This window comes from Homo sapiens, chromosome 5 (genome assembly GCF_000001405.40).
Source record: "Homo sapiens chromosome 5, GRCh38.p14 Primary Assembly".
In the NCBI taxonomy this organism is placed as follows: Eukaryota; Metazoa; Chordata; class Mammalia; order Primates; family Hominidae; genus Homo; species Homo sapiens.
The window spans coordinates 2893031-2917189 of record NC_000005.10 but is presented as its reverse complement, the minus strand read 5'-3'; the positions used below and the strand labels follow the sequence as shown (position 1 = coordinate 2917189).

The following is a 24159-nucleotide window of genomic DNA, read 5'->3' as shown; positions in this document are numbered from 1 at the left end:
CCTTTCCCTCCAGTCCTGTGCCCAGAAATGGCTTCTTGTTGTTGCAATGAGCTGTCAACTGTGTATTTTGTATTTTCAAAACACACTTTAAAATGTCTAAAATGGAAGCAAAGATATACTTACAAGCACTTAAATTTAATTAAGTGTCTTTAAGGGGCACAGTGAGACAAATACTGTAACATGACATTTTGCAAACCTGCACGAGTCAGAGACATAAAACTGTTTATAAGAGAAAAAGCTTAATGATTGGTGGTATGCTTATTTAAATGAAGAGTAATTCATAAAATCATACTTGTAAAAAACAGTCATACAAATTCATATTAAATCGTGATAAATGATCCGTCTTGATTAAAAAACCCAATTCTTAGAATCTGTATTTGAATAGAAGTTAAGGCAAGTGACAGAGAAAGACACAGGGAGACAGAGAAAGGATCCATGAATCAACAAATACAATAGGAAAGTCTGGCAGATTCGTCTAGGAATAAAAATAAGACATTTCTTAACCCTGGATTGATTGCTGACTTATTTTGAACCATCTTACTCTAAAACTGCAATTACTGCACAAATGAAGTGTTTCAGACACGAACACCTTCACAGGTATATTGAAAATATTAAAAGGATCTTATTAAAAGCCAAAAAATTAGGGCAGGTTCAGCTTCTTAAGACAGGTGTGCCTGCTAAGAAGTTTTCGCCAGACAGGTCTTCTCCAGTGTCTCTGGTTTGGGTATCAGGCTCCTTTTCTTTTCTTTTTTCTTTTTTTTTTTTTCTTTTTTCTTTTCTTTTCTTTCCTTTCCTTTTCTTTTCTCTTTTCCTTTTCTTTTCTTTTCTTTTTTCCTTTTTTTCTTTTTTCTTTTCCTTTTCTTTTTCTCTTTTCCTTTCTTTTTTTCTTTTTTGCTTTTCTTTTCTTTCTTTCTTTTTTTTTTTTGTGAGATGGAGTCTCGCTCTTTTTCCCAGGCTGGAGTGCAGTGGCAAAAACTTGGCTCACTGCAACCTCCACCTCCCAGGTTCAAGTGATTCTCCTGCCTTAGCCTCCAGAGTAGCTGGGATTACAGGCACCCACTACCACCCCCGGCTAATTTTTTGTATTTTTAGTAAAGATGGGGTTTCATCATGTTGGTCAGGCTGGTCTCGAACCCCTGACCTCAAGTGATCTGCCTGCCTCTGCTTCCCAAAGTGCTGGGATTACAGGCATGAGCCACTGCACCCAGCCCCAGGCTCGTTTCTTATAGTACTGCTGGACTACCTTCCAAGAAGTCAAATCTGACCTTCCCAGGCCTACTTGAAACTTGGCAGGTTTAAATTTGCTTTTGTTTAAAAAACAAAAATGAAAAATAGAAACAGAGAGGAATCCAACATGGGTTTAGAAATCCATATTCATATTGGTGTCCATCAGCCTCTAGGGTTGCTGGGTGCCTCCTGGGAGCTTCTGCGTCATTGTTCAGGACACAGCTTTTAAGCCGAACATGTCATTTCTTGTGTGTGCTGAAGACAGTGACCACCATGGCTCCCAGCACTCTCAGCGATGCTGACTTCTATCTTAAGAGTCAGATTGGATGAAATCTACTCAAAACACTTCATAATCATTTTGCTGTAGGATTCCCCAGTAACTCTCTACTCCTTTCCAGCATGACTTTGTGAACCAGCCCTTTTGATCTTCTGACAGCTTCCGACACTCTAATCCTATATTTAAACATATTTCTACATTGCATTGAACAGTTTGATTTAAATTTACCATAATCTAGATAGCCAAAGTCATCAACTCCCTCACTCTCTGTGATACGCCTGCCACTCGCGCTTTGAAAAATAAATAGAAATAAAAATGTTTAATGGAAACGACAATTACAACACATTTGAAAATGCTCGACAATTTAGCATCACAATAAGTGAACACTGAAGGCCTCTGCTTCCAAATGCCACCCTAATTAAAGGAGCGTTCCCTTTCAGTGCTCTTTTTTCACATGCAGAAGAGGCCTTATTCAAATGAGGGGAGACCTTTCACGCGGCTCTAATGGAGAGCTTAGCATAACGTGGGCTGCTTGGCCATGCAAATGGCAGCGAGCGCTTGGCGTGCGGGTGCAGATTACAGTTATCCTCTCCACACACCACAGAAGTCTTCACGCTCTGGAAATATTCTGCTTATCAGTAAGAAGCAATGATCAACACCTCACACCCCCAGCCCCGGAGAGACTCGGAGAGCGAGATCATCAATATTCAGATCGAGTCGGATTCTCACGCCGCCCGACTACTCATTTGCTTCTAAAGGGAAGGCTCACTGTATACTTCTTAATGTAAACATTTGACGACCACGTATCCAAGCCCAAATAGAATGATTAAAAGGTGGCTTCCCACAGAGACACTGAAAAGCAGCTGCTGTTATTGGCTCTGAAATTAGAAACAAAAAACGACAACAAAAAATCTTAGAAAAGCCTTTTGTCCTAGCTCCATGAAAGAATGCAAAAGTGGAGATTCTTAGAAATAAATAAATAAATAAAAATGGCAGTCGTTGAAAAGTAAACCTTCCTCTGCAAACACACGAAGCCACAGATGACATCGTCTTTTTGTTTGCTCTACGGAAGTTGTTTGCCTCTATGGTCCCATGGCGTGGCCCCAGCTCCTGACTGGAGAGGCATGGCAGATTCCGGGCCATCCAGCTATTCGCTAAAGAGGACAGTGGTGTTTCCATTCACTTTCAAACCAGGTCATGTATATCGTCCCAAAGGAGCAAGCCCCCACAAGTAGCGTGTGCCCGTGTACCCCAGGAAACAAGACAGTGGGCGCGCGCGTTAGAGGCCCTGTCTGGCTTTTGGCAAGTGGGAAGTTGGGAAGAAGGGCATTTGGCCAGATGAGGGACATGGCCGCCTGTGCTTTGTAGCCTGCTTTCAGGGGTCTATAATCAAGAGAAAAGATTCAAAAACAAAAACAACCTGCCTGTGGCCCATTCTTGCCCATTAGTATAAGAAGAGAAGGCACATCTGCCTCTAGAAGTCAACCCCGCAAGGGACCTAGGGTGAGCAGGGGCCAGGCACAGGGCTGAGTGGTTATCCCACAGGCACGTATCCACTGGCCAGCATCCTGCACCCTGCGTAGAAATCAAGTCAGAGTGCCAGGTGCAGCTTTTTAGAAAATGTATAGAATACATAGAAAAGAATAGACTAGAACGAAATAGAAAATAGCAGAAGCCATCACACTTAGCAAACTCAGGCTTTACAAACTTTCTATTTGTTTTACTCATTTTTATCTGTGTGTAGTGCTGTGTGCTCTGTAATGAGTGCATGGTGTGTGCTATGTTGTGAGCTGTATGATGTGTGCATCTGTGTGATGTGTTAGTGGTATGGGTGGTATAACTTACATATGTTGTGTAAGTGGTGTATGCTAGGTATGTGGCCTGTGTGATAAATGTATTGTGTGTAGAGGTGTGTGTACGATGTGGTGTGGTATTGTGGAGTATTTTGTGTGTGCACTGTTGTGGTTGTTTGTGAAGTATGCGTGGTATGTATGGAGTGTGTTGCATGTCTGGTATGTATGTTCTGTGTAGACAGTGTGTGGATTGTGTGTTGTGTGTATTGCATGCATGTGTGTGCACACACATGTACTTGCATGCCCGCACACTGGGAGGGGATATAAAAGCCTGAGAGCTGTGGGGGCTGAGGACTCAGGGCAGCTCAGGAGCAGACTGTCATGGGGCAGTTCGCTTTCCTGACAGGTGCTGGCCACACACCCGGATCCAAACTCTGAAGGCTCTGGGCCCCTATGTGCCCGTGTGAACAGCGTGGCCCTCACAGGCTTGGTGGAGGCAGAGTGCTCCGAGTCTCACAGCCTCTGATCTGTGTCTGCGCACACAGAACTCCACACTCACTGGGATCAGAGTCTTCCTGGGTTCCCAAGAGGGTGGTCACCTTCTGGGGACACAATTTGTAAACCTGGGGTGATGAGAAGAGAGAAGAACAGCATGTACCACAAAATCCACAGAAAAAAATGTAGCCATTGGAAAACATAGCATAACTGTCAGATGTAAATGGATGAGAAGTCTGAAAAACAAGGAGGCGATGAGGAGGACTGGACCCACCGGATAGCACGTGCATCACAGAGCCTCGGCACAGTGTCCAGAGAAACAGTGGAAGTCCATCAGCAGGACCCATCAAAAGGAGGCTTAGCCTAAGACAGAGAGGGCCTCCCACACCAGCGAATAAGACAGAGAGGGCATCAACACCAGTCAATAAGACAGAGAGGGCCTCCCACAACAGCGAAAAAGACAGCGAGGGCCTCCCACACCAGCGAATAAGACAGAGAGGGCCTCCCACACCAGCAAGGCATGAGGGAGAATCGGGCGGCCGGCCCCGTGGCGAGAGCTCTGCAAGCAGCCACGTAAAAAGGGTAAAATCTAGGTGAGTGGAAAGTTGATTATTAATAATTATAAAACTAGGAGAAGAAAACATGAGAAAACAATCCTTTCCAATTCCAACTTATATCCAAAAGTCAATTAAGAAATTAATAAATGTGATATGTAAAATTAAAAAAACTTCTTCATGGAAAAAATATCAGAAGGAAAAAAATGCATTCCACTGAGATTACTGACAAACAGCTTATTTTCCTGAGAAGTAAAGAATCCCCACCCATTTATTTAGAAAAGGTCAGCAGGCAATAATAATTGGACAAAGAAGATGAACAGAGAATTCCCAGAAAAGTCAATACGAACATCTCTTAGAAATATGGCAAGACCGTAGGCTCACTGATTTTTCACATAAAGAAGGAATGGCAGTGCCACCTCAGTGATATCATTGTCACCTGTGGATGGACGAGCTCTGAACTCCGGAAAGCACTGTGCAGGCTAACCTGCAGGAAGGCATTCTAACACCCCCAGGTAAGACTGACATGAGTGCAACTTGTCAGTTGCAAGTGAGGACTTCTCTTGTGGGCAACTTGGCAATGTCCATTGAAATTATAAATGCATGTGCATTTGGTCGAACAATTTTATTTAAATAATAGAAATCATGCATATGGAAAATGTCATCATTCATTTTAATATTAAAAATATAGTTTTTTTGTTTCTGATACTTAAAAAAATTGTTTCTAGCATTTTTTCTGATATTAGAAATTGTATATTAGATTACCATTACCCAAGTGTCCATCAACAATGACTGGGTTAAAAATGATTTTATTAAGGCTATATAGAGGAATACTACGTGGATGGACAAATGAACAAGAAGGCTGTTTCTGTACCGATGTGGAAAGAGCTCTCAGACATGCTGATAGTAACAGAGGCAAGAGGCAAGACATTGTGCAGTGAGCTTCTATTCACAAAATGGAAAGGCAGTGGGAGGAAAATATTTGTATTTGCTTATATTTGTGTAAAAGATGTTTGGAAACAACAGAAGAAATGAACATTTCCTGGGTGGATGAAGGATGAAGCAAAGTGGACCGGGAGATTCTTCATCGGGCATCTTTTTTTAACTTTTTGGTTTCTAAACGAAACTACCTATTAAAAAAAAAGGTATACATACATGTCTATCCATATAGGTACAGCAAAGATTTGGTACAGATACTTCTGCAGATATTTGCATATAAGTATGCGTGTATGTAACATGTATGACAACATGACGCATTGTGTGTGTGTATGTCAAGCATGTGGAACTAGCAAGCTACTTGAATGGTCCATAATGCAGGCCTGGAGTTCCCTGGGTCTCACCTGCGCAAAATATTAGGCAGGACAGAGTGTGGCTCCTCCTTTGCTGCAGATTCTATGAAATTTTGGAAATAAATGGGAAGAGAATTGTGGCTGTAGCCCCTAGTAATAGACAGTAGGGCTGTAGACATGAGAAATTCAGGACCAAATTCATGGTATTTTAGAGAAATGATCAATGAGATAAACTGACAGTTTATTGGGAAAATTCACTTTCACTTTTCTGTCTCTGACTGTCATGGTCCTATGCATTTGGATGCATTAAGTGGATACTGACTATATTACATTACTATGCATTATGTAGATACTGTATCTAGATTTATGTTAAACTTTATGCAATCCACCGATGGAATAAAAATTCACCACACTGGTATGGACCTGCGCATCTCTAGAGGTTTCCTTGCACTTTATGTAATAGACCTACACCCACTGTGTGATGGACTGGGCAGGTGCCATTGGGATGTGAACAGGACAATGTGGCCGGTCTTGCTGCCACCTGCACCCCCTGCACAGGTGCTGTATGGGCAAGATCAGGTGTCTGGGAGCAGAGTCGCATCCTCATGAGGCTCCGAGACATGCATTCTTGCTACCTCCATGGACTGTTGGCCAGGGGAATGGGTCTGCCTGTGAGGGATCCAGGGTCCCAAAGGTTTCTTTGTCCAGTACTACAAAGGCTCTTCCTGAGGCAGAGGGGCTAAGCCTCAGACTTGAGGACAAGCAGTAGCAGTGTGTTGTTAAGGTGAGTGGTCTGCAATGCCAAGAATGTTTTCTACACCTCCTGCCCACCACTCCACTCCACCATGCCCCAGGTCAAAGGTTCAATCCCAGGGCTTGCCATCTTCAGCCACCAGGACATGGCACCTTCTTGGGACTCAGTGGGATTGCTCCCCAAACTGCAGGATCCGGAGCTCCTCCAATGTGCCGCTGCAGCCTACCCCTGATGGCCCAGACCCAAAGACATCTTGACAACTGCCGGGGCCCTGGGGCTTTCTCCCAGGTGCTGCTCTAGAATACTGCAATCCCCCAGGAAACACAGCCCAGGCTGTGGTCCTCATTTTTATTTCCTAAAAGGCAAATTGTAGGAGCAGTTAACTCACCAGCATGCTGTTAAAGTGTTATTTATTTTTTCTAAAATAATGTCATAGTTTTCAAAAGCCTATTTTTTAAATTCAAATAAAGCTTAAGTTTCCAAAACTGCCTGAAAATTAAAATATTTCAAATGTACTCATTCAATCACAAAAATCTTCCCCAAATACCTAGTATTTTAGTATTCTCATTCTAATCAACTTATAATATCACATTTTAAATTCAAACTGCAGATTCAGTTTATACTTTCAATTATTAAAAGGCTTTCCTTTTTAGTTAATAATCTAACCTGTTCTGGAATGGAGGAGGTGAGGCACTAATTAACATAAAAAATTTAAAAAAATATTTATCCATCATGTTACCTAAAGCCATATTTTTGCTAGCCTCCCACTAATAAAGCAGGAGACTATAAAGCCGTCCTGAGTTTACTGGAATTAAAAGAGAAAACACAAGTCTGTGGTCCATACGTGTTTATCCCAAGGTGTCTGTGAAGTTGAGAAGGGGTCTCCAAACATGGCCTCAGAACCGTGACCCTGGAAAGCTCCAGCAGCATTGCTCTTACTCACACGTTTATTATTTAATGAATATTTCGGATTTGCAATGCAAATAAGACTTACAAAGCTGAGAATTATAATTTTGAAGCAATTACTCACATTATGAGTCATGAAACTGACATGGAGGATGTGCTACTTTAGTATTTTTCGGAAAAGCTACTGCAAGCCTTTTTTTTTTTTTTTTTTTTAACAAAGGAGCTGCTTAATCGCTTTCTGGAGTGTATACCCCCGTCCCCATGTTGCTTTTGAGATGGGTCTCTCTTCTGTTTCCATTCGACTCACAATCTGTGTTTAGAGTAAATCAAGAATGAAAAGAAAATTTACCTTCACAATGAAACTGCAATTTATTTCTTGAGAGCTTTGCCGGCTTCACAGACTTTCAATCTGTTTAACCACAGCTTCGTCTCGCTCCTCGGCATAATACATCTTTCCACCTAAGCACCCAGTATATAGCAAGCATTTCGCTCAGCATCGAGAGGGAATATTCATTTTCAACTGCAGAACGTCAGCTTCTAATGGATTTGGAACCACAGCAGCATGAGGATTCAAAAGTCTCTGCTTAAGTTCTGGGCTGAGCAGAGAGCTCAGTTGAAGATTGAGCACAACAGGCTTACTGTGGGCCGCGAAGGTTGTGGCAGTGTGCACGATGGCCGTGGTCTACACGCTTCCCAACAAGAGGTGTGCAGCCATGGTCGGCATATCTGAAAAGTCAGTCCTTGGACGGACTAGGGGAGGAACCAAGACATTATGTGTATGATAAAAGCAATGTGTTGCCCAAAACAAAAAGCACTGTTTCTTCACTCTGACAGTGTATTTTTTCTCATAAATAATACACGATGCATGGTAGAGTGATGTTATACTCTGAAAATCATCTTGACTCTCAGCAAATCACAGTAGGGACACTGAAATGGTTCCCGCAGTGGGGTGACAGAGGCAGCTCACAGCCCACGGCCGGAGGATGGCTATGCCTGGCTGTGCACAGTAAATGCCAGGGGCCTTTCCTGCAAGTCTCCCATCCACTTAGTGGGGAGCACAGATTCCATTTCATTTAATGATTTAGAAAAAGGCTCCTAAACAACAATTGATACCTTGTAAATAGCTAGTACATTGAATGTCTTTATTACTATTCTTCCTAAGCATTCAACTAATAAAACAGATGAATAAATAAAAGTGTATTCAGTGAGGTTCAAATAACCAGTGTTGAAATATTACATACGTGCTGATATATTGAATTTGAGAGGTTTTGCATGTCGAGTTACGTGGTGTAGGACCTGACTTGTAATTAATTCAAAGCCTCATTAAGGTTGGGAAGTTATTGCCTCATCTGTACCAGCTGTAGTCATGATTGATAACCTAGGAAAGGTGAACGGGTGCAAGCATCAACCTTACTCACAAAGTCAATAGAAAGAGCTAATTGGCTAAACCGAATTCATAGGCTTTACACAGTGGAATTTAGCTACTGTTTCAAAGTGCACGGTAACCTGTGACAACCACTGACTGTCAAGCAGCAGTCCCCTATCAGCCTGCGTCAGTGTGGTCACAGACTGGCCTTCTGTTTCTCCACACAGAACATGTTGCCCAGGGGGCCTTGGCTGCAGGCAGACTGCATGCTGCTCTTTTCCCTGATACCACCCTCTACTCCCTGGGAATTTGAATAAAAGATCAGAGAAACCTCAGAGGTCAGGGATCCACAGGGAAGAACATGGGATGGGGGAATGAAGAGGACACAGCCCAGAAGGCAGAGCAGGGCGCATCAGGTCTCTGAGGACCCAGACCTGCCAGGATAATGTTGTTGATTGAAGTCAGCACAGCTTCCTCTAAGAAGCTCCCAGACTCCGAACGTTGGTTCATCCTGACTCTGAGGTTGCTGTGGAGTAGCTGCATTTCAAGGTCACAGGTGGAAAAAACTGTATATGGGGATCGCATTCTCCAGCCTTGACATCCAGGTGGGGATCCCACTCTCCAGCCTTGACATCCAGGTGGGGATCCCACTCTCCAGCCTTGACATCCAGGTGGGGATCCCACTCTCCAGCCTTGACCTCCAGGTGGGGATCCCACTCTCCAGCCTTGACCTCCAGGTGGGGATCCCACTCTCCAGCCTTGACATCCAGGTGGGGATCCCACTCTCCAGCCTTGACCTCCAGGTGGGGATCCCACTCTCCAGCCTTGACCTCCAGGTGGGGATCCCACTCTCCAGCCTTGACATCCAGGTGGGGATCCCACTCTCCAGCCTTGACCTCCAGGTGGGGATCCCACTCTCCAGCCTTGACCTTTAGGTGGTGATCCCACTCTTCAGCCTTGATCTATAGATGGAAATCCCATTCTCCAGCCTTGATCTCCAGGTGGGGATCCCACTCTCCAGCCTTGAATTCCAGGTGGGGATCCCACTGTCCAACCTTGAACTTTAGGTGGTGATTCCACTCTCCAGCCTTGACCTTTAGGTGGGGATCCCACTGTCCAACCTTGACCTTTAGGTGGTGATTCCACTCTCCAGCCTTGACCTTTAGGTGGTGATCCCACTCTTCAGCCTTGATCTATAGATGGAAATCCCACTCTCCAGCCTTGATCTCCAGGAGGGGATCCCACTCTCCAGCCTTGAATTCCAGGTGGGGATCCCACTGTCCAACCTTGACCTTTAGGTGGTGATTCCACTCTCCAGCCTTGACCTTTAGGTGGTGATCCCACTCTTCAGCCTTGATCTATAGATGGAAATCCCACTCTCCAGCCTTGATCTCCAGGTGGGGATCACACTCTCCAGCCTTGAATTCCAGGTGGGGAATCCCACTGTCCAACCTTGATCTATAGATGGTGATCCCTCTCTCCAGCCTTGACCTATAGGTGGGGATCACACTCACTAGCCAGTCTTGACCTGTAGCTACACCAAACACATGGTACCATCCACAGGTCCCTGGCTGACCTGTCTCTGCAGAAAGATGATGGGGTCTTGCCCCCACTGCATACCCTCAGGTGCCTCGACTCTGGTCTCGCTGCAAGACACTCACCCTGTGCATCTTCCCACTCTCCTGCCAACCTCATCCCTGGCCTCTGCTGGCCCCACCCTGAGACTTTAATCCTGTAACTTCTTTCTAGGAACACACTCTGGAAGTGGGCACAGAACTTGCAGGCTGTAAACCTTCTTCACCATGTTTGACACTGACCCTGACTAAAGAACTTGAAAGGAGGCCTAGCGTGTCCTCATGGTTGACTGTGAAGGGAATTCCTCGTACACCTGTGGGCAAGTGGGGGCAGGTGGGGACAGGCTGGACCCCACCCAGCTGCAGGTGCAGTACGAGGACAAGGTGACTGCAGACCTGTGGGAGGGGCCACCGGTGCAGCTTTGGGAGCACATGCCTGTCAGTCCAGTGTTTCAGACACAAAAATGATGCCCAGGCTCCTGCAGGAAGCTGCATGTGGGATCTTTGCCTTGCATTTCGTGATGTAGAGTTCATCACAGGAGTGGGAAGGGGCATCCTTGCTGTGGCCAACCCCTGGCCCCAGCCCTCGCATTCCATTCCCTGGATGATGAGTCTTATTTCACAGTATTTCTGTTTCATGCAAATCTTCTATCAGGGTTGTAATTTGTTTAAAAGCAGAAGCAACATGGAAATGCACACTTGTATTTCCTGTGTCAAAACAGGCAAATAAACCTTTGGAAGTGGGCCTGATGGGGAAGAGCAAAGGGCACCCTGAGAGCAGTTGCCAGCCTCTCAGCAGTTGGAGGTAGGACAGAGAGGAAAAGGAGCAAAAACAAAGCTATGACTGCTGCCAGTTAAACACATTCCATAGGCCACATTCCAGCTAATTAAAATTCCTCATTATTGATTCTGATGTTCAGTGTGGACCCTGCTGTCCACGTGCCTATAAGTTTTCTGGGCCTTGTTTGTGTCGGGGAGATGTCCACAGACTCAGTGCCACATCACGTCTCAGCCACCGACCACACAGACGCCCACAGTGACCCAGCTCCTTACCGAAGGCACAGGATGAGGAGAAGGTGGATTTGAATAAAAGTATGTTGTTCTGACGGTAAACAGTTGACCCTCGTATTAGTCTGTTCAGTTTGCCATAACAAGTACCGTATATTGGGTGGCCTAAACAATGGGAATGTATTGTCACCATACACTGGGGCTTAAGAAGCAGAACTTCCTCTCTCATAGTTATCAAGGCCAGAAGTCCGGGATCAGGTTTTGGCAAGTCCTGAGCCTCTCTAGGGCATGGAGATGGTGACTTTTCCCTGTGTCCTCACAGTGGATCCCTCTGTGCTGCTCTGTGTCCTGATCTCTCTGTTTATGGGGACATCAGTCAGATGGGATGAGACACCACCCTAACAACCTCATTTTAACTTCAGTATCTCTTGGAAAGCGCTGTCTCCAGATAAGGTAACATTCTGAAGGACTGGGTGTCAGGACTTCCACCTATGAAGTGGGGAGGTGGGCACGACTCAGCACTTTTATAGAAAGTGGGAAGTTACCCATGGAGTGCCCACTTTTTGCTGGACAAATATTTCCCTTACTTCCAGAAGCTGCATTCACTTCCACTGAGGATCACTCTGTTTCCGAGGTCACCAGTTCACATGGACACATGGAAGTGTGAGGACACTCCCTGGCTGGACCGACAGGCTGCGCACATGACATCGCTCTCACAGGGGCCCGTCCTTGTGACTGAGGAGGTGGCCAGTGCCAGTTATCTTCCGTGTGTCCTATAAGCCCATTGAAATCTTAGTGAGCTGCTTGCAGTATGTACAGCCTGCCGGGGCTCAGAATCTGCCAGTGCTCCTATGAAAATCTAATACTGTGCTGATCTGAACTGAGGCAGAGCTCAGGTGCTTATGGTCACTCGCTGCAGAGCTCAGGTAGTGATGCTCACTCTCTACAGCGTCAGGTGGTGATGCTCACTCTCTGCAGTGTCAGGTGGTGATGCTCACTCTCTGCAGTGTCAGGTGGTAATGCTCACTCTCTGCGGCGTCAGGTAGTAATGCTCACTCTCTGCGGCGTCAGGTGGTGATGCTCACTCACTGCAGAGCTCAGGTAGTGATGCTCACTCTCTACAGTGTCAGGTGGGAATGCTCACTCTCTGCGGCGTCAGGTAGTAATGCTCACTCTCTGCGGCGTCAGGTGGTGATGCTCACTCTCTGTGGAGCTCAGGCAGCAATGCTCACTCGCTGCAGAGCTCAGGTAGTAATGCTCACTCTCTGCGGCGTCAGGTGGTAATGCTCACTCTTTGCGGAGCTCAGGTGGTAATGCTCACTCTTTGCGGAGCTCAGGTGGTAATGCTCACACTCCGCGGAGCTCACCTCCTGCTGTGAGGCCTGGTTTGTTACAGACCATGGTCGGGTACTGACCCATGGCCTGGGGGTTTGGGAGCCCTGCACTTGCACACAGCAGAGGCCCTCGGTGGCCTCTGGGAGCTGTGCTCAGATAGCCCCTGGGAGGGCTTCAGCCCTGGAGGGTGCTGGTGTCCCCCACCCTCCCCAGACAATGAAAATAACTAACCAGAAAATGGGAAGAGCACCCCACTGCATTGTGTTTCCAGGACTACTCAAGCATGCTTTTCAAAAATTATCGAATATCAAACTACTTCCAGAAAAGGTTTATTTCTGGTCCCCTGCTTGACTGTCACCTGGAACACACACGCAGTAGCCCTGCCAGCCGGCCGGCCTCATCATGCATGGGCTGCAGGGCGGCTGGTCGGCAGGACCTTGGGAGCTCGGGAGCCGGCAGAAGGTCGGCTTTCCACGACACAGCGAGGCCAAGAACCTGGTCCTCTCCATTGCGCGGAGGAGAACGGAATCCAAATCATGGACTAAGGCAGGCCCTGCAGACAGCACCCCCCTGCTCAACAGGGGGCCAGGAGGCACCCGCCACAGCCACAGCCTCCTCCTGGACCCGGAGCCCCACTGTCTATGCAGGCTGGCAGCAGATGCCCGTCCTTCGCCCATTTCCTTTGCCTCCACACCTGGCTCCCTCCCTACAGCGCATGCTGCCCTCTGCCTCGCAGCCTCCTGTCTCTTCTCGTCTCCCATCATCTGCCCATGGCTTCTGCTTGTCTTGTCGGCATGGATTTCCGGGGAATTCACCCTGGCAGGACCTGGGAGTGCAGTACAAGACGATGCTTTGAGGGTAGTGTGGCCAGGAGAGAGGAATGGATAACCGGTATGGGATCTCCAGCATCGCTGAAACTGGGGTGATATTGGAGATTGATGCTGAAACGTACCAGTGCTCTGGTGCCACTGTACATATATCGGGGAGACAGGCCAGTGGAGGGCCCTGCCCTGCCTCACCTCAAGCATGAAAGCAAGAGCAGAGCGGCTCATGTCGGGTGAGATGTCTGCTGACACCTCCAGCTTGGGCTCATTTTGCCTTGAGACTAAAGGAATGCTCAGAAGAGCAACTCAGGCAGGGCTGCAGGCATCCAGTACCCACTGGATGGGAGAGAGAATTTGCCTTTCATTCACTCATTCGATAAATAGTCCTGGGTGGCCTCTTTTCACTTACAAAAGCCCAATTTTGTCCCAAGAGGGACAAATCTGACCCCAGGCCATGATGCCAGGAATCCCAATTCATCCCTAAGGGGCAGCCCGGGGACCCTAGAACCCATTTTCCCCAGGAGCCTGTTGGAAAGCAAGAGTTATGGTGGCCCCAGACGGGCCAAAGAGGCAGCTTGGTTGCTGAGGCTAGGACCAGGGCCTTATCTTTTTCCTGATTCCCTGCTGTGGCCAGCAGGGCAGAAAGCAGATGGCAGGAGTGGGGTGTAGGGGTGGCGACACCCTGAACCTCTGTCAGGACCCTCACTCACAGTGTGGAGCCCACACTAGAACCAAGGTGCGCAAACAGCAGTTCTGGGGCCAGATGTCGCCTCTAACCTATTTTTGTATAGCTCCAAGCTCCAAGGAATGGTTTTGCGTTTTCAGGTGGTTCAGAAGAAAATCAAAACACAAGTCATGTTTTGTGGCATGTGAAAGCTACGTGGAGTCCAAACGTCAGAGTTTCTGAAGCTCAGCTGGCACACGGTCCGGGGTGCTCTTGCCTCCGTGTGGCTGGTGGCCTCCGGGTAACAGGGCAGAGGGCAGTCCCAGTGACATAGACCAGAGGACCAGCAGCCTACAATGCCGCCTGGCTCTTTATGGTCAATGTGTGCTAGCCCTGGTCTAGAATGTTCTCTCAATGCGTAGGTGCTTTGCTCAGAGCTGCAGGAACGTTGAACTGGATAGTACATAAATATGTTCTTTCTTGTATTCATTTTGTTAAAAAAATATATAAAATGTCAAAGATTTGAGTTTTAAAGATCTAAGTGGCTTCTATTAGTGATGAGTGGAACAGCAGCTTGCCTACAAAATAGAGGAAGACCCCCTGAGCAGGGCAGGACAATGGGCTTTTACAGGGCAGCCGCGGCCAAAAACCAGGAAATAGCAGCATGCAGACAGTACATCGGCTGTCTTCCGGTTACTTTCCTGGCCTGGGTTTAGGCAGAGGGGACTCCCTCTTACACTGGCTCTAGTGGACTGGGCACTTTCTGCCTGGCTGCTTCGAATGTCCTGGTGGGGCAGGGCCTTCTGTTAGGCTCCAATACCACATTTCAGAAGCATTTTGGTCACCTGTCTTTTTTATGGTTTGAGCAGCAGGCCTGGAAACTGTAGGGTTTCCCATGGGCAGCTCCTGGCCCAGCCACACACCTCCAGCAGCATCCTCACCCTTCTCTCTCTCAGGATGGGGCTTCAGGTTGGGCAGAGCAGGGTCACCCTTCAGTGCCAAAGAGTGGGGGTTCCTGGGGCAGGCCCAGAGATATGTGAAACAATGGCCCACTGTTCCTATCCCCAAATAATCAGGAATCGGTTCAGGGCATAAACACAAAGGTGATCTTCCGAAAATAAGCAGAACCCAGGAGCGAAGAGGAGAACTGAATGGTTTAGACCCACCATCTGGAGATGCAGGGCAGATGATGGAGATGTGTGACAGTTATGTTCAGTGCTCTGACTAAATCCGGGGAGAGGTGAGCAATTGAGCAATTGACAGCTCAGGACAACGACGGCAACAACAACAACAACAAAGAAACAATGAAGACATTCTCCAACATCTCTTGAGGAATGACACCCAAGATGCAGATAAATCCGAGCACAGTGCAGACAGCGTGCAGGCTTTGTGTCAAAGGCGTGTTTGCAGGGGTGTCTTTGCCACCGTGTGGAGATTCTGGTTGCCTGCACAGGAAGCCAACACCACGGATGACCCATTTCAAGGGGAAGGCAGGCAGGGTGGGAACTGGGAGACTTTCTACTAAGTCCATTAGAAAAGTATCTGGAACTTTGAGTGAATTATTTACTCAATAAAACCGAAAGTCAGTGGAACATGCTTTTCGTTGGTACTGGTTAAATCTTACGAGATCTGCTGTTTGTTTGTTTTTTTTTTCCTTTTTAAATTCGGAGAGAAAAGCATTGAATATGCCTAATACAGACCCAGATGTTCTCACAAAAGAGAGCACGGACTTGACTCTCCAGAGCAGGGTGGGGCCAGCAACACAGGACAGGAGTTAGGCACAGCCAGGGAAGGGGACTCAAAGGACACCCACCCTGGAGCCTCCCAGGTCTGCACACACCCACGCAGGAGGGCCTGAGGGGATGCTGGCTTCACGAGGCTCTGGAAGGAGCTCCGCTGCCAGCAGAGCTCCTTCTTACCAGCAGCAGAGACAGCTCTTCATGACCTGGATGTAAAAAGATGAACAGGCCCAAACACAAGGTGTGCCTTTTAACACGATGCCATCTGGGGAGACTCCTGGATAGCCATGTTAACACAAAAGTGGTTCTTTAATACCCTGATGCTAGTATGAACTAAACACTGGACACATGTCCTGACCTCCAGACCAGAGGCTGTAGCTTCATCAGAGGAGAAAGGCCCAAGTGGGGCAAAGTGGAACAGTCACACTCCTTCCCTACAAAGGGACAGATGGGCCCAGTGGTGGCTTATTTGATTCTGTAGACAGAAGATCAAGGCAGCCAGATGAGCATGGACATTTTCCCCAAAGTACAACCATGGCAGGGAGAAGCCACATTTATCTCAACTCAGAAAGAATCATGGAGCTGGGAGTGAGAAGCTGGAGAGGATGAAGGTGGAGGGAAAGAAGCTGAGGGGAGAATCTGGGAGTGAGCAGCTGGAGAGGGAGAAGGTGGAAAGGGAGAAGGTTGGGGTGGGGAGAAGCTGGGGAGGGAGAAGGTGGAGGTAAAGAAGCTGAGGGGAGAAGCTGGGAGCAAGAAGCAGGAGAGGGAGAAGGTGGAGAAGGGGAAGGTGGAAGGGAGAAGGTTGGGGAGAAGCTGGAGTGGGGAGAAGCTGGGGAGGGAGAAAGTGGAGGGGAAGAAGCTGAAGGGAGAAGCTGGGAGTGAGGAGCTGCAGAGAAGAAGCTGGGAAGAGAGGAGAGTGGGAAACACAGGAACAGACAATACCAGGCAGATTCTGCCCCTCCTCTGCTGAGGGCAAACACCAGATCTTTATGTCAACAGGAACAGGAAGTGTAGCATCTGTACACAGGGGATTGGAATTGCAAAGTAAGTAATAATTCATAAATCATATAATCACATAGTATACATTCTTGTATATCACATTTTATAAAGCATTTTAGAAATATAACATCTAATACATAATTAATTATAATACAATATGTTTAACTATATGTAATGTATTATTTTCTAAATATTAATATATTTGCTATATTAATATTTATGTTATTTTGAATATGTAATCAATTTAATTAAATATAACATGACAAGGTTAATTGCATATAATTATATCATAGAATGTATAAGTTATGAAAATAGAATAAATACATAAGTCAATTGCATTGGGTTTTGTTATGGGAAAATACATTATTTACAATTCCTTATTTTTTGCACAAAGTAGTAATAGCCACAGCTGGTGGGCAAGTTATAGGGAGTGAGAAAAGAGAATGCTGTTCAATTGAATTGCACCTGCTCCACAGAAATGAAATATACATAGATTAAGTGTTTTAATTTTTGTTATATAATAAAAATCTCATTTTTCCTTTTAATCTACTGGAAAGATATCACCATGGTTAACAGTTTTGCCACCTCGCATTTTGTCGGTAGTTGTGAAAAATGCAGTCTTGATGGCGTGCTGCTTCCGAATCCTGCAGAAAGGTGCAGATGCCCTGGGCTGGGGGAGAATGAAGCCCCCTGTACCAGGCGTAGGGCAAACATCAGGGTGGAGGTGTCAGCTGGGGAGCTGGCCCAGGTGTCTGTGGACAGGCTGCAATGGCAGGCATATGTGGAATAGACACCTGCACCATGTGTGCTCTGGGTTTTCCCCACGTTCTGAACAGGGCACAGCCTCTAGAGAGTGAAAGAGTGCAGGTGTCTTGTACTGAACAGGCCTAGCTCCTCCCGGCTCTGAGGTCCGCTAGCTCAGTGACCGATGCAGGTGACCAGCTCTCCAAGACCGTGGAAAGCAAAGATGAGGACGCCTTTCTAGAAGAGTTGTAGCAATGAAAATAATGGAAGCCACGCTTGCACTCAGAGGTTACCCTGCTCTGACCCAGGGCAGGTTCTCAGCGCTTCCATTCCTGGGGTGAAAGGATTGAGGGCTTCTGCAATCCAGGGAGGCCTGAGAGCATCTGCCTCCCACTGTTTAGCAGCAAAATTACCCAGGAGGCCCATCTGGGTCCACGGTGGGAAAATGGCGATAGTCAGACGCTCGTGGACACTGTGAGAGGTTCAATCATTCATTCATTCATTTCACAAGTGCCTAGTGAGGTCCTCGTGTCCCTGGAAATGCGTGCACAAAGATAGGGAGGGCTTGGCTCTTGTCCTCCAGCCTGGGAGACACAGCCATGTGCTGATAACAACAGGGAAGGCAGTAAATGCAGTTACAGAGGAATGTGCATTCAGGGAGCAAAACAGAAGATTCTGGTCTACCCCCGGCTCCCAGGGAAGGCTCCTGGACCCATCTGTCCTGAGCAGGGCCCTAAAGGCTGAGGAAGGGGAGCTGACAGGGAAGACAGGCTCTGGGCTACCAGCACCTACTCATGGCTGGGGGCTGGGACTGTCTGACATGGAGAAAGGGTCACTGGGCATTGCCACAGACTTGCTGGAGCAGCCTGAAGGCCCCAGAGCCACGCTGGCTGCACGTGCAGACCATGGACTCGCTGAGCACCTCCGCAAGGGCCTCCTGCCCACTTCTCTTTAGCTCCTTGGACCCAAGTCCTGGGAGGATGTCCCACAGGCTGGGTTTCCCGGGCAATGTGGAGATGGGGGCTTTCTCTTGGCAGCTCCCACAATGATGCACAAACATAAACAGAAGGAGGTGCAGTGATGGACAGCCAGAAAAGATCCAATTGTCCAATTCAGGGAAAATAGACACACTCCAGTTCTAACTCCAGGTACCTATGAACATGACTTCATTGGAAATGGATTTGTGGCAGATGTGATCAAGGTAAGATGAAGTCATCCTGGATTCAGGTGAGCCCTAAATCCAAGGGATGATGTCCTTATAAGAAGGCCCTGTGGCCCGGGCGCGGTGGCTTATGCCTGTAATCCCAGCACTTTGGGAGGCCGAGGCAGGCGGATCACAAGGTCTGGAGATCGAGACCATCCTGGCTAACACGGTGAAATCCCATCTCTACTAAAAATACAAAAAATTAGCCAGGCACGGTGGCAGGTGCCTGTGGTCCCAGCTACTTGGGAGGCTGAGGCAGGAGAATGGAGTGAACCCGAGAGGCGGAGCTTGCAGTGAGCCGAGATAGCACCACTGAAGTCCAGCCTGGGCGAAAGAGCGAGAATCCGTCTCAAAAAAAAAAAAAAAAAAGAAGGCCCTGTGGATTGGCAGGGATGCAGGGACACACCGGAAGCTGGCCACCTGATGGCAGAGGCTAGATAAGAATGGCTGTCTGCAAATCAAGGGTCCCAAGGGTCACGGGCAGAGCCAGCAGGTGGGAGAGGTGTGGCAGCTCCTCTCCCGGAGCCTCCAGAAGGAGCCAGTCCTGCCGGCCTGTGCACCCGTGGCCTCCCGCACAGACAGGATGCATGCCTCCCTGCTGTCTGAGCCACCCAGACTGTGGGTCCTGCTGCAGCAGCCACGGCACTCAACACTCAACAGAGTGAGGGGCATTCCAGCATGGGGAAGGCTGCGCAGAAGCCAGCACAGCCGCAGAAGCAGTCTGAAAAGCTGGTGGGGGAGGCCTCTGGTGCCCACCCGGGCCCCTCCTGGGGGCGGAGGAAGAAGAGAAGGTGACAGGTCAGGGAGACGCTGGAGCAGCCACTGTCTGGGGACATCGAAGGGTGGGTGGGCAGAGGGGAGTTGGTCAGGCAGGACCTAAGGGTCCGTGTACTCAGCAGCCACAGCGCAGGGCCAGGAAAATCCCACTGTTGCTGGAGGCACTGGGAGGAGGGCCGATAAGCATCTCAGTGCAATGAGAACAAAGATTCTAAAAGAGTGAGACATGGTGCTGGGGGGAGCAAGTACCCAGATGGCCCCACCCCAGGGACACAGGTGTGCTTCAGGGCGGCAGTCTCCCCAGCAGCACACATGTGTTCAATGCCTTCCCCATCTCTGGGATCTTGTCACTGGAGGCCAGGAAGTCCTCCCCGAGGATGCTGCACATTGGCCAGCTTCTCCCAATCCCCAGCTGCCTCTACGAAGGAAAGATGGGCCCCTGAGTGGCTGGCCAGGTCTGGCGGACTGATAGAAGGGCCTGAGCATCCATACAGGAATTTGGCTCACGGGGCCCAGAGCCGGGGGCGCGGCATCCTTGACAGTTTTCTTCTGGGAGGAGTCAGAGCCCACCTGAGGCTGCTGTCTGAGCCCAGAGAAGGAAGGGGCACCGGTGACTACACACCAGGGGTGGAGTCAGCAACTCCACAGGAATAACTTCGCCTAATCTCATGCTTACGACACCCGTGAGATGCCATGTTAAAGAAGAGGAAATGAAGCTCCAGTCTAACTCCCCGATGCCCTGCTATCAGAAGCCAGCAGAGCTGGGGTCCACAAGGGTCTGGCCACGCATCCATGGAGTCTGAGCGAACATTGCCCCCACAAGACAGCACCCGCGACCCCTCAGTGGGAAGGAGTCCCTGGACGTGTAGCTTCAGCAAACGCCCATGCACCCTGAGAATCGGGAAAGGAAGCTGATCTCCCAGCCGCAGTGGCCAGTGCTCGCTGTGGGACATTGCTGAGTGCTTGACCTCAGTGACCTGCCCACCCCCTGGCAATCCAGGGAAGCCGTGAGTGTTATTGTGCCCATTTTCAGATGCTGAAACTGAACCCTGGAGAGGGGACCTCGCTTGCCTACAAGAAGAAGGTGGGCAGAGAACAGGGCAGAGGCCGGAGCCTGCGTGGTGAGAGCCCTGGCTGCGGAGTTCTCTGAGATGAAGACCTAGGCTGCGGGTGGCAGGAGTGGCAGCTCCTAGGGCCGGGGGACACGGTCCAGCACCACTGTCCTCACCTTCTTCACCTATGGGAGCCAAGGCAGAAAGAAGAGCGAGGATAAGAAGGGTGAAGATTTTCCAGTAAATGGGAAATAATTTTCCAGACCCTCCGGCCTCTCCCCTGCTCCTCTGCCCATGGCTCCTCTAGGGCCTTCAGGTGTGGATCAAATTACTCCTGTGGGACCCTCCTGGGGGGTAAGGGTGCGGGGCATGGGCCAGCCCCACTCAGCAGAGAGAGAGAGAGTGAGGGACAGGTGAGGGGAGAGGCTGCGCCAAGGGGCCCTGCTGTCCCGCTGAGGAGGGTAGGTCCAGCCCCTGAGGTCCCCGTGCTTTCTGAGCTTGTGATCTCCAGTTCCTCCCCAGCCCCTCTGGGTTTGCGGCATGGGCACCTTCCAGCCTTCACTGAGGCCAGGGTCCCCTTCCCTAAGAGCCTGCTCTCACCCTTATGCCACTGCTAGGATTTCCAGGGAAGAAGAGGGGACCTGGTGGGAAAAGAGAAGGCTGGTCAAGAGGAGGCAGTGAGGTGGGCAGAGGAGCAGATGGCAGCACAGGCAGCACCCACTGCGGAGCCCAGCCCACACCTGCAGGCACTCTGGGAACTTCACTCCCTCCACCTCCATCCCGAGCTGGGACCCTCACTCCCTCCACCTCCATCCCGAGCTGGGACCCTCACTCCCTCCACTCCACATCCATCCCAAGCTGGGACCCTCACTCCCTCCACATCCATCCCAAGCTGGGACCCTCACTCCCTCCACCTCCATCCCGAGCTGGGACCCACACTCCCTCCACCTCCATCCCGAGCTGGGACCCACACTCCCTCCACCTCCATCCCGAGCTGGGACCCACACTCCCTCCACCTCCATCCCGAGCTGGGACACTCACTCCCTCCACCTCCATCCCGAGCTGGGACCCTCACTCCTTCCACCTCCATCCTGAGCTGGGACCCTCACTCCCTCCACAACCATCCTGAGACCTCCAGGCACGTGGCCCCGCCAATGCTTTCCTGAATCCACTTGGTCTGTTGGGTGATAAGTGTTGGAGGGGGTTGTTTCTATGCCTTGCAGACCTCCAACCCCTCTGGTTCCCTGTCCAACTCCCCGCTGGGGTGCTGAAGAACCCTTGCTGTGGGGGCCATGGGACCGTGGCTCAGTCAGCCCTGGGATCTCTTTATGCAGTCCGCTTCAAGTCTGAGGCATCAATAAGACTTTCTCGGGAGCTTTTCTTTCTTAAAGCGGTTAATGTTGCTTAAGTGTAAACCTACACCTGGGGTCATCAGCAGGGAACAAAGAGGGCTGTCACCAACGTCAGAATGCTCCAAGAAGGGGCAATTCTAAATTCTGCTCTCAAGAACAGAAGAAACTTCCCCTTCTGAGTGTGCATGACAGAAGTCCCATGGAGAGAAAGGTGCGTGGGGACACTGGGTCTCCAGCCACCATCTGTCATCCAGCCTGTGAGTTTCGCTAGCCTGGGGAGCTGTCCCGCGAGTAAATCAGGAAAGACGAGTGAGTGGCTGTCCAGCCGGCCTCCCGGCGGTCAGAAGATAGTTTCAGGAGCCTGTCAGGAAATTCTGTGGCCCCAGGCCCATGGCGACTTTTTATTTCCAAGCCTGTTATCGATTTTGTTGTGAAGAAAATAATTCGCTATTGTTGCTTAAGGTGTCAGAGGAATTAAAAAAAAAACACTCCATGTTTCATTTGCTAACAGATCTTGGTTCAAATTTGCCTTTTCATGACAAGGGCAGCGCAAGCTACAGGATGGAGGTGTTTACTACTGAAAGGTACTGCCACCGTTATGAGACATGGCACGCTAATCGAAAACACAAGTAAACAGAAAATTAAATTTAAAAGCCTATAATTTAGTATCTTCCTTGCCAGGAGTGATGGCTTTCATTTACGCACGGGATCCGGAGCTATCCAGGGTCGGAGTGGCGGGGGCGGTCTCCAGGCCTCTTCTGAGGGCTGATGGAGCTGATTAATTTCTTGGAGCCAAGCTTTGTCTTCCCCAGCTCAGTGAACAACTTCATTTCAGCTGATGAGTTCAAGTAGGGGTCAGAACAATCCTCATTTCTGACAGCCCCATGAAATGGGAATTAATTTTATGAGTTAGTGGCACTGCGCTTTAAACGAAGCTGGAAATAGAGAAGTTAACATAAGCAGCCAGGACAAAATCTGTGTGCAAATGCTCCACTTGATTAAAACTGGGGAAAATATTTAACAAGGTACTGGGGGCCCGGTATGAGAGGGTTCAAAGAATCAGAAACGTGCCAACGGGCCCTCTACCTTTGGTAAATACCAGAGGCACTTTACTGAACTTTTGTTCTTAGGTTTTGACATGAAAAAACTCTAAAAGAGGGCAGAAAAGGATCTCGGGGAAGATTAAACCATTGTGACCACAGCATTAAAAAATAACTAAAAAAAGCAAGCAAATCACATCAGATTTGGGTCAAATACTATTATAACAATTAGGACTGCAGCAAAGTGTCTTCTACAAATTCATCCAAACATTGGTTGAATGCCCATCAGTTGCCAGGCACCCAGGGTCCTCCAGAAGACGTGAGCACACTGTCGCACGTACACATAAGGCTCTGTTCTGGGCTGAATTGTGTCATGCCAAGTTCATGTGTGGAAGCCCTAACCCCCAGTACCTTAGCTTGTGGTGGTGTTTGGAGGTGGGGCCTTTAAAGAAATGATTAAGTTCAATGAGGTTGTTTGGGTGGGTCTTAATCCATTATGACTGGTGTCCTTAAAAGAAAAAGAAATGGAGACACAGGAAGGCACAGACGGACAAGCACAGGAGGACACAGAGAGGAGACACCATCTGTGAGCCAGAGAGAGAGGTCTCTGGAGGAATCAACCCATGACCTTGGGTGTCCAGGCTCCATAAATGGGAGAGAATGCATTTGTGTTGCTTAAGCCACTGCGTATGTTTGCCTTTGCCTTTGCTGTGGTCGCCCGAGTGAACCCATGCAGGCTTCTTCATTATAACCCACTCCCCCCATCTGTTTACTTTCAGAAATAATAATAACGGCTGGGCGCGGTGGCTTACGCCTGTAATCTGAGCACTTTGGGTGGCCAAGGCTGGTGGATCACCTGAGGTCAGGAGTTTGAGACCAGCCTGACCAACATGGTGAAACCCCGTCTCTACTAAAACTACAAAAATTAGCTGGGCGTGGTGGCAGGCGCCTGTAATTCTAGCAACTTGGGAGGCTGAGGCAAGAGAATTGCTTGAACCCGCTGGGAGATGGGGGTTGCAGTGAGCCGAGATCGTGCCACTGCACTCCAACCTGGGCGACAGAGTGACACTTTGTCTCAAAAAAAAAAAAAAAAGAAAGAAAGAATAACAACACAATACATCCCTGGTTCTGTGAATCTGGATCAATCCCAAGGAGGGCCTCTCAGTGGACGTTTCAGACTCTCGTC

General features: G+C 48.8%; 1 annotated feature.

The window, feature by feature from the left end:
* Positions 1391 to 2339: an enhancer, noted in NCBI's record as "OCT4-NANOG-H3K4me1 hESC enhancer chr5:2914965-2915913 (GRCh37/hg19 assembly coordinates)". NCBI's record gives its function as "activates a minimal SCP1, AML or CMV promoter by ChIP-STARR-seq in naive H9 embryonic stem cells {active_cell/tissue: H9 hESC(naive)}" and the evidence as "EXISTENCE:reporter gene assay evidence [ECO:0000049][PMID:30033119]".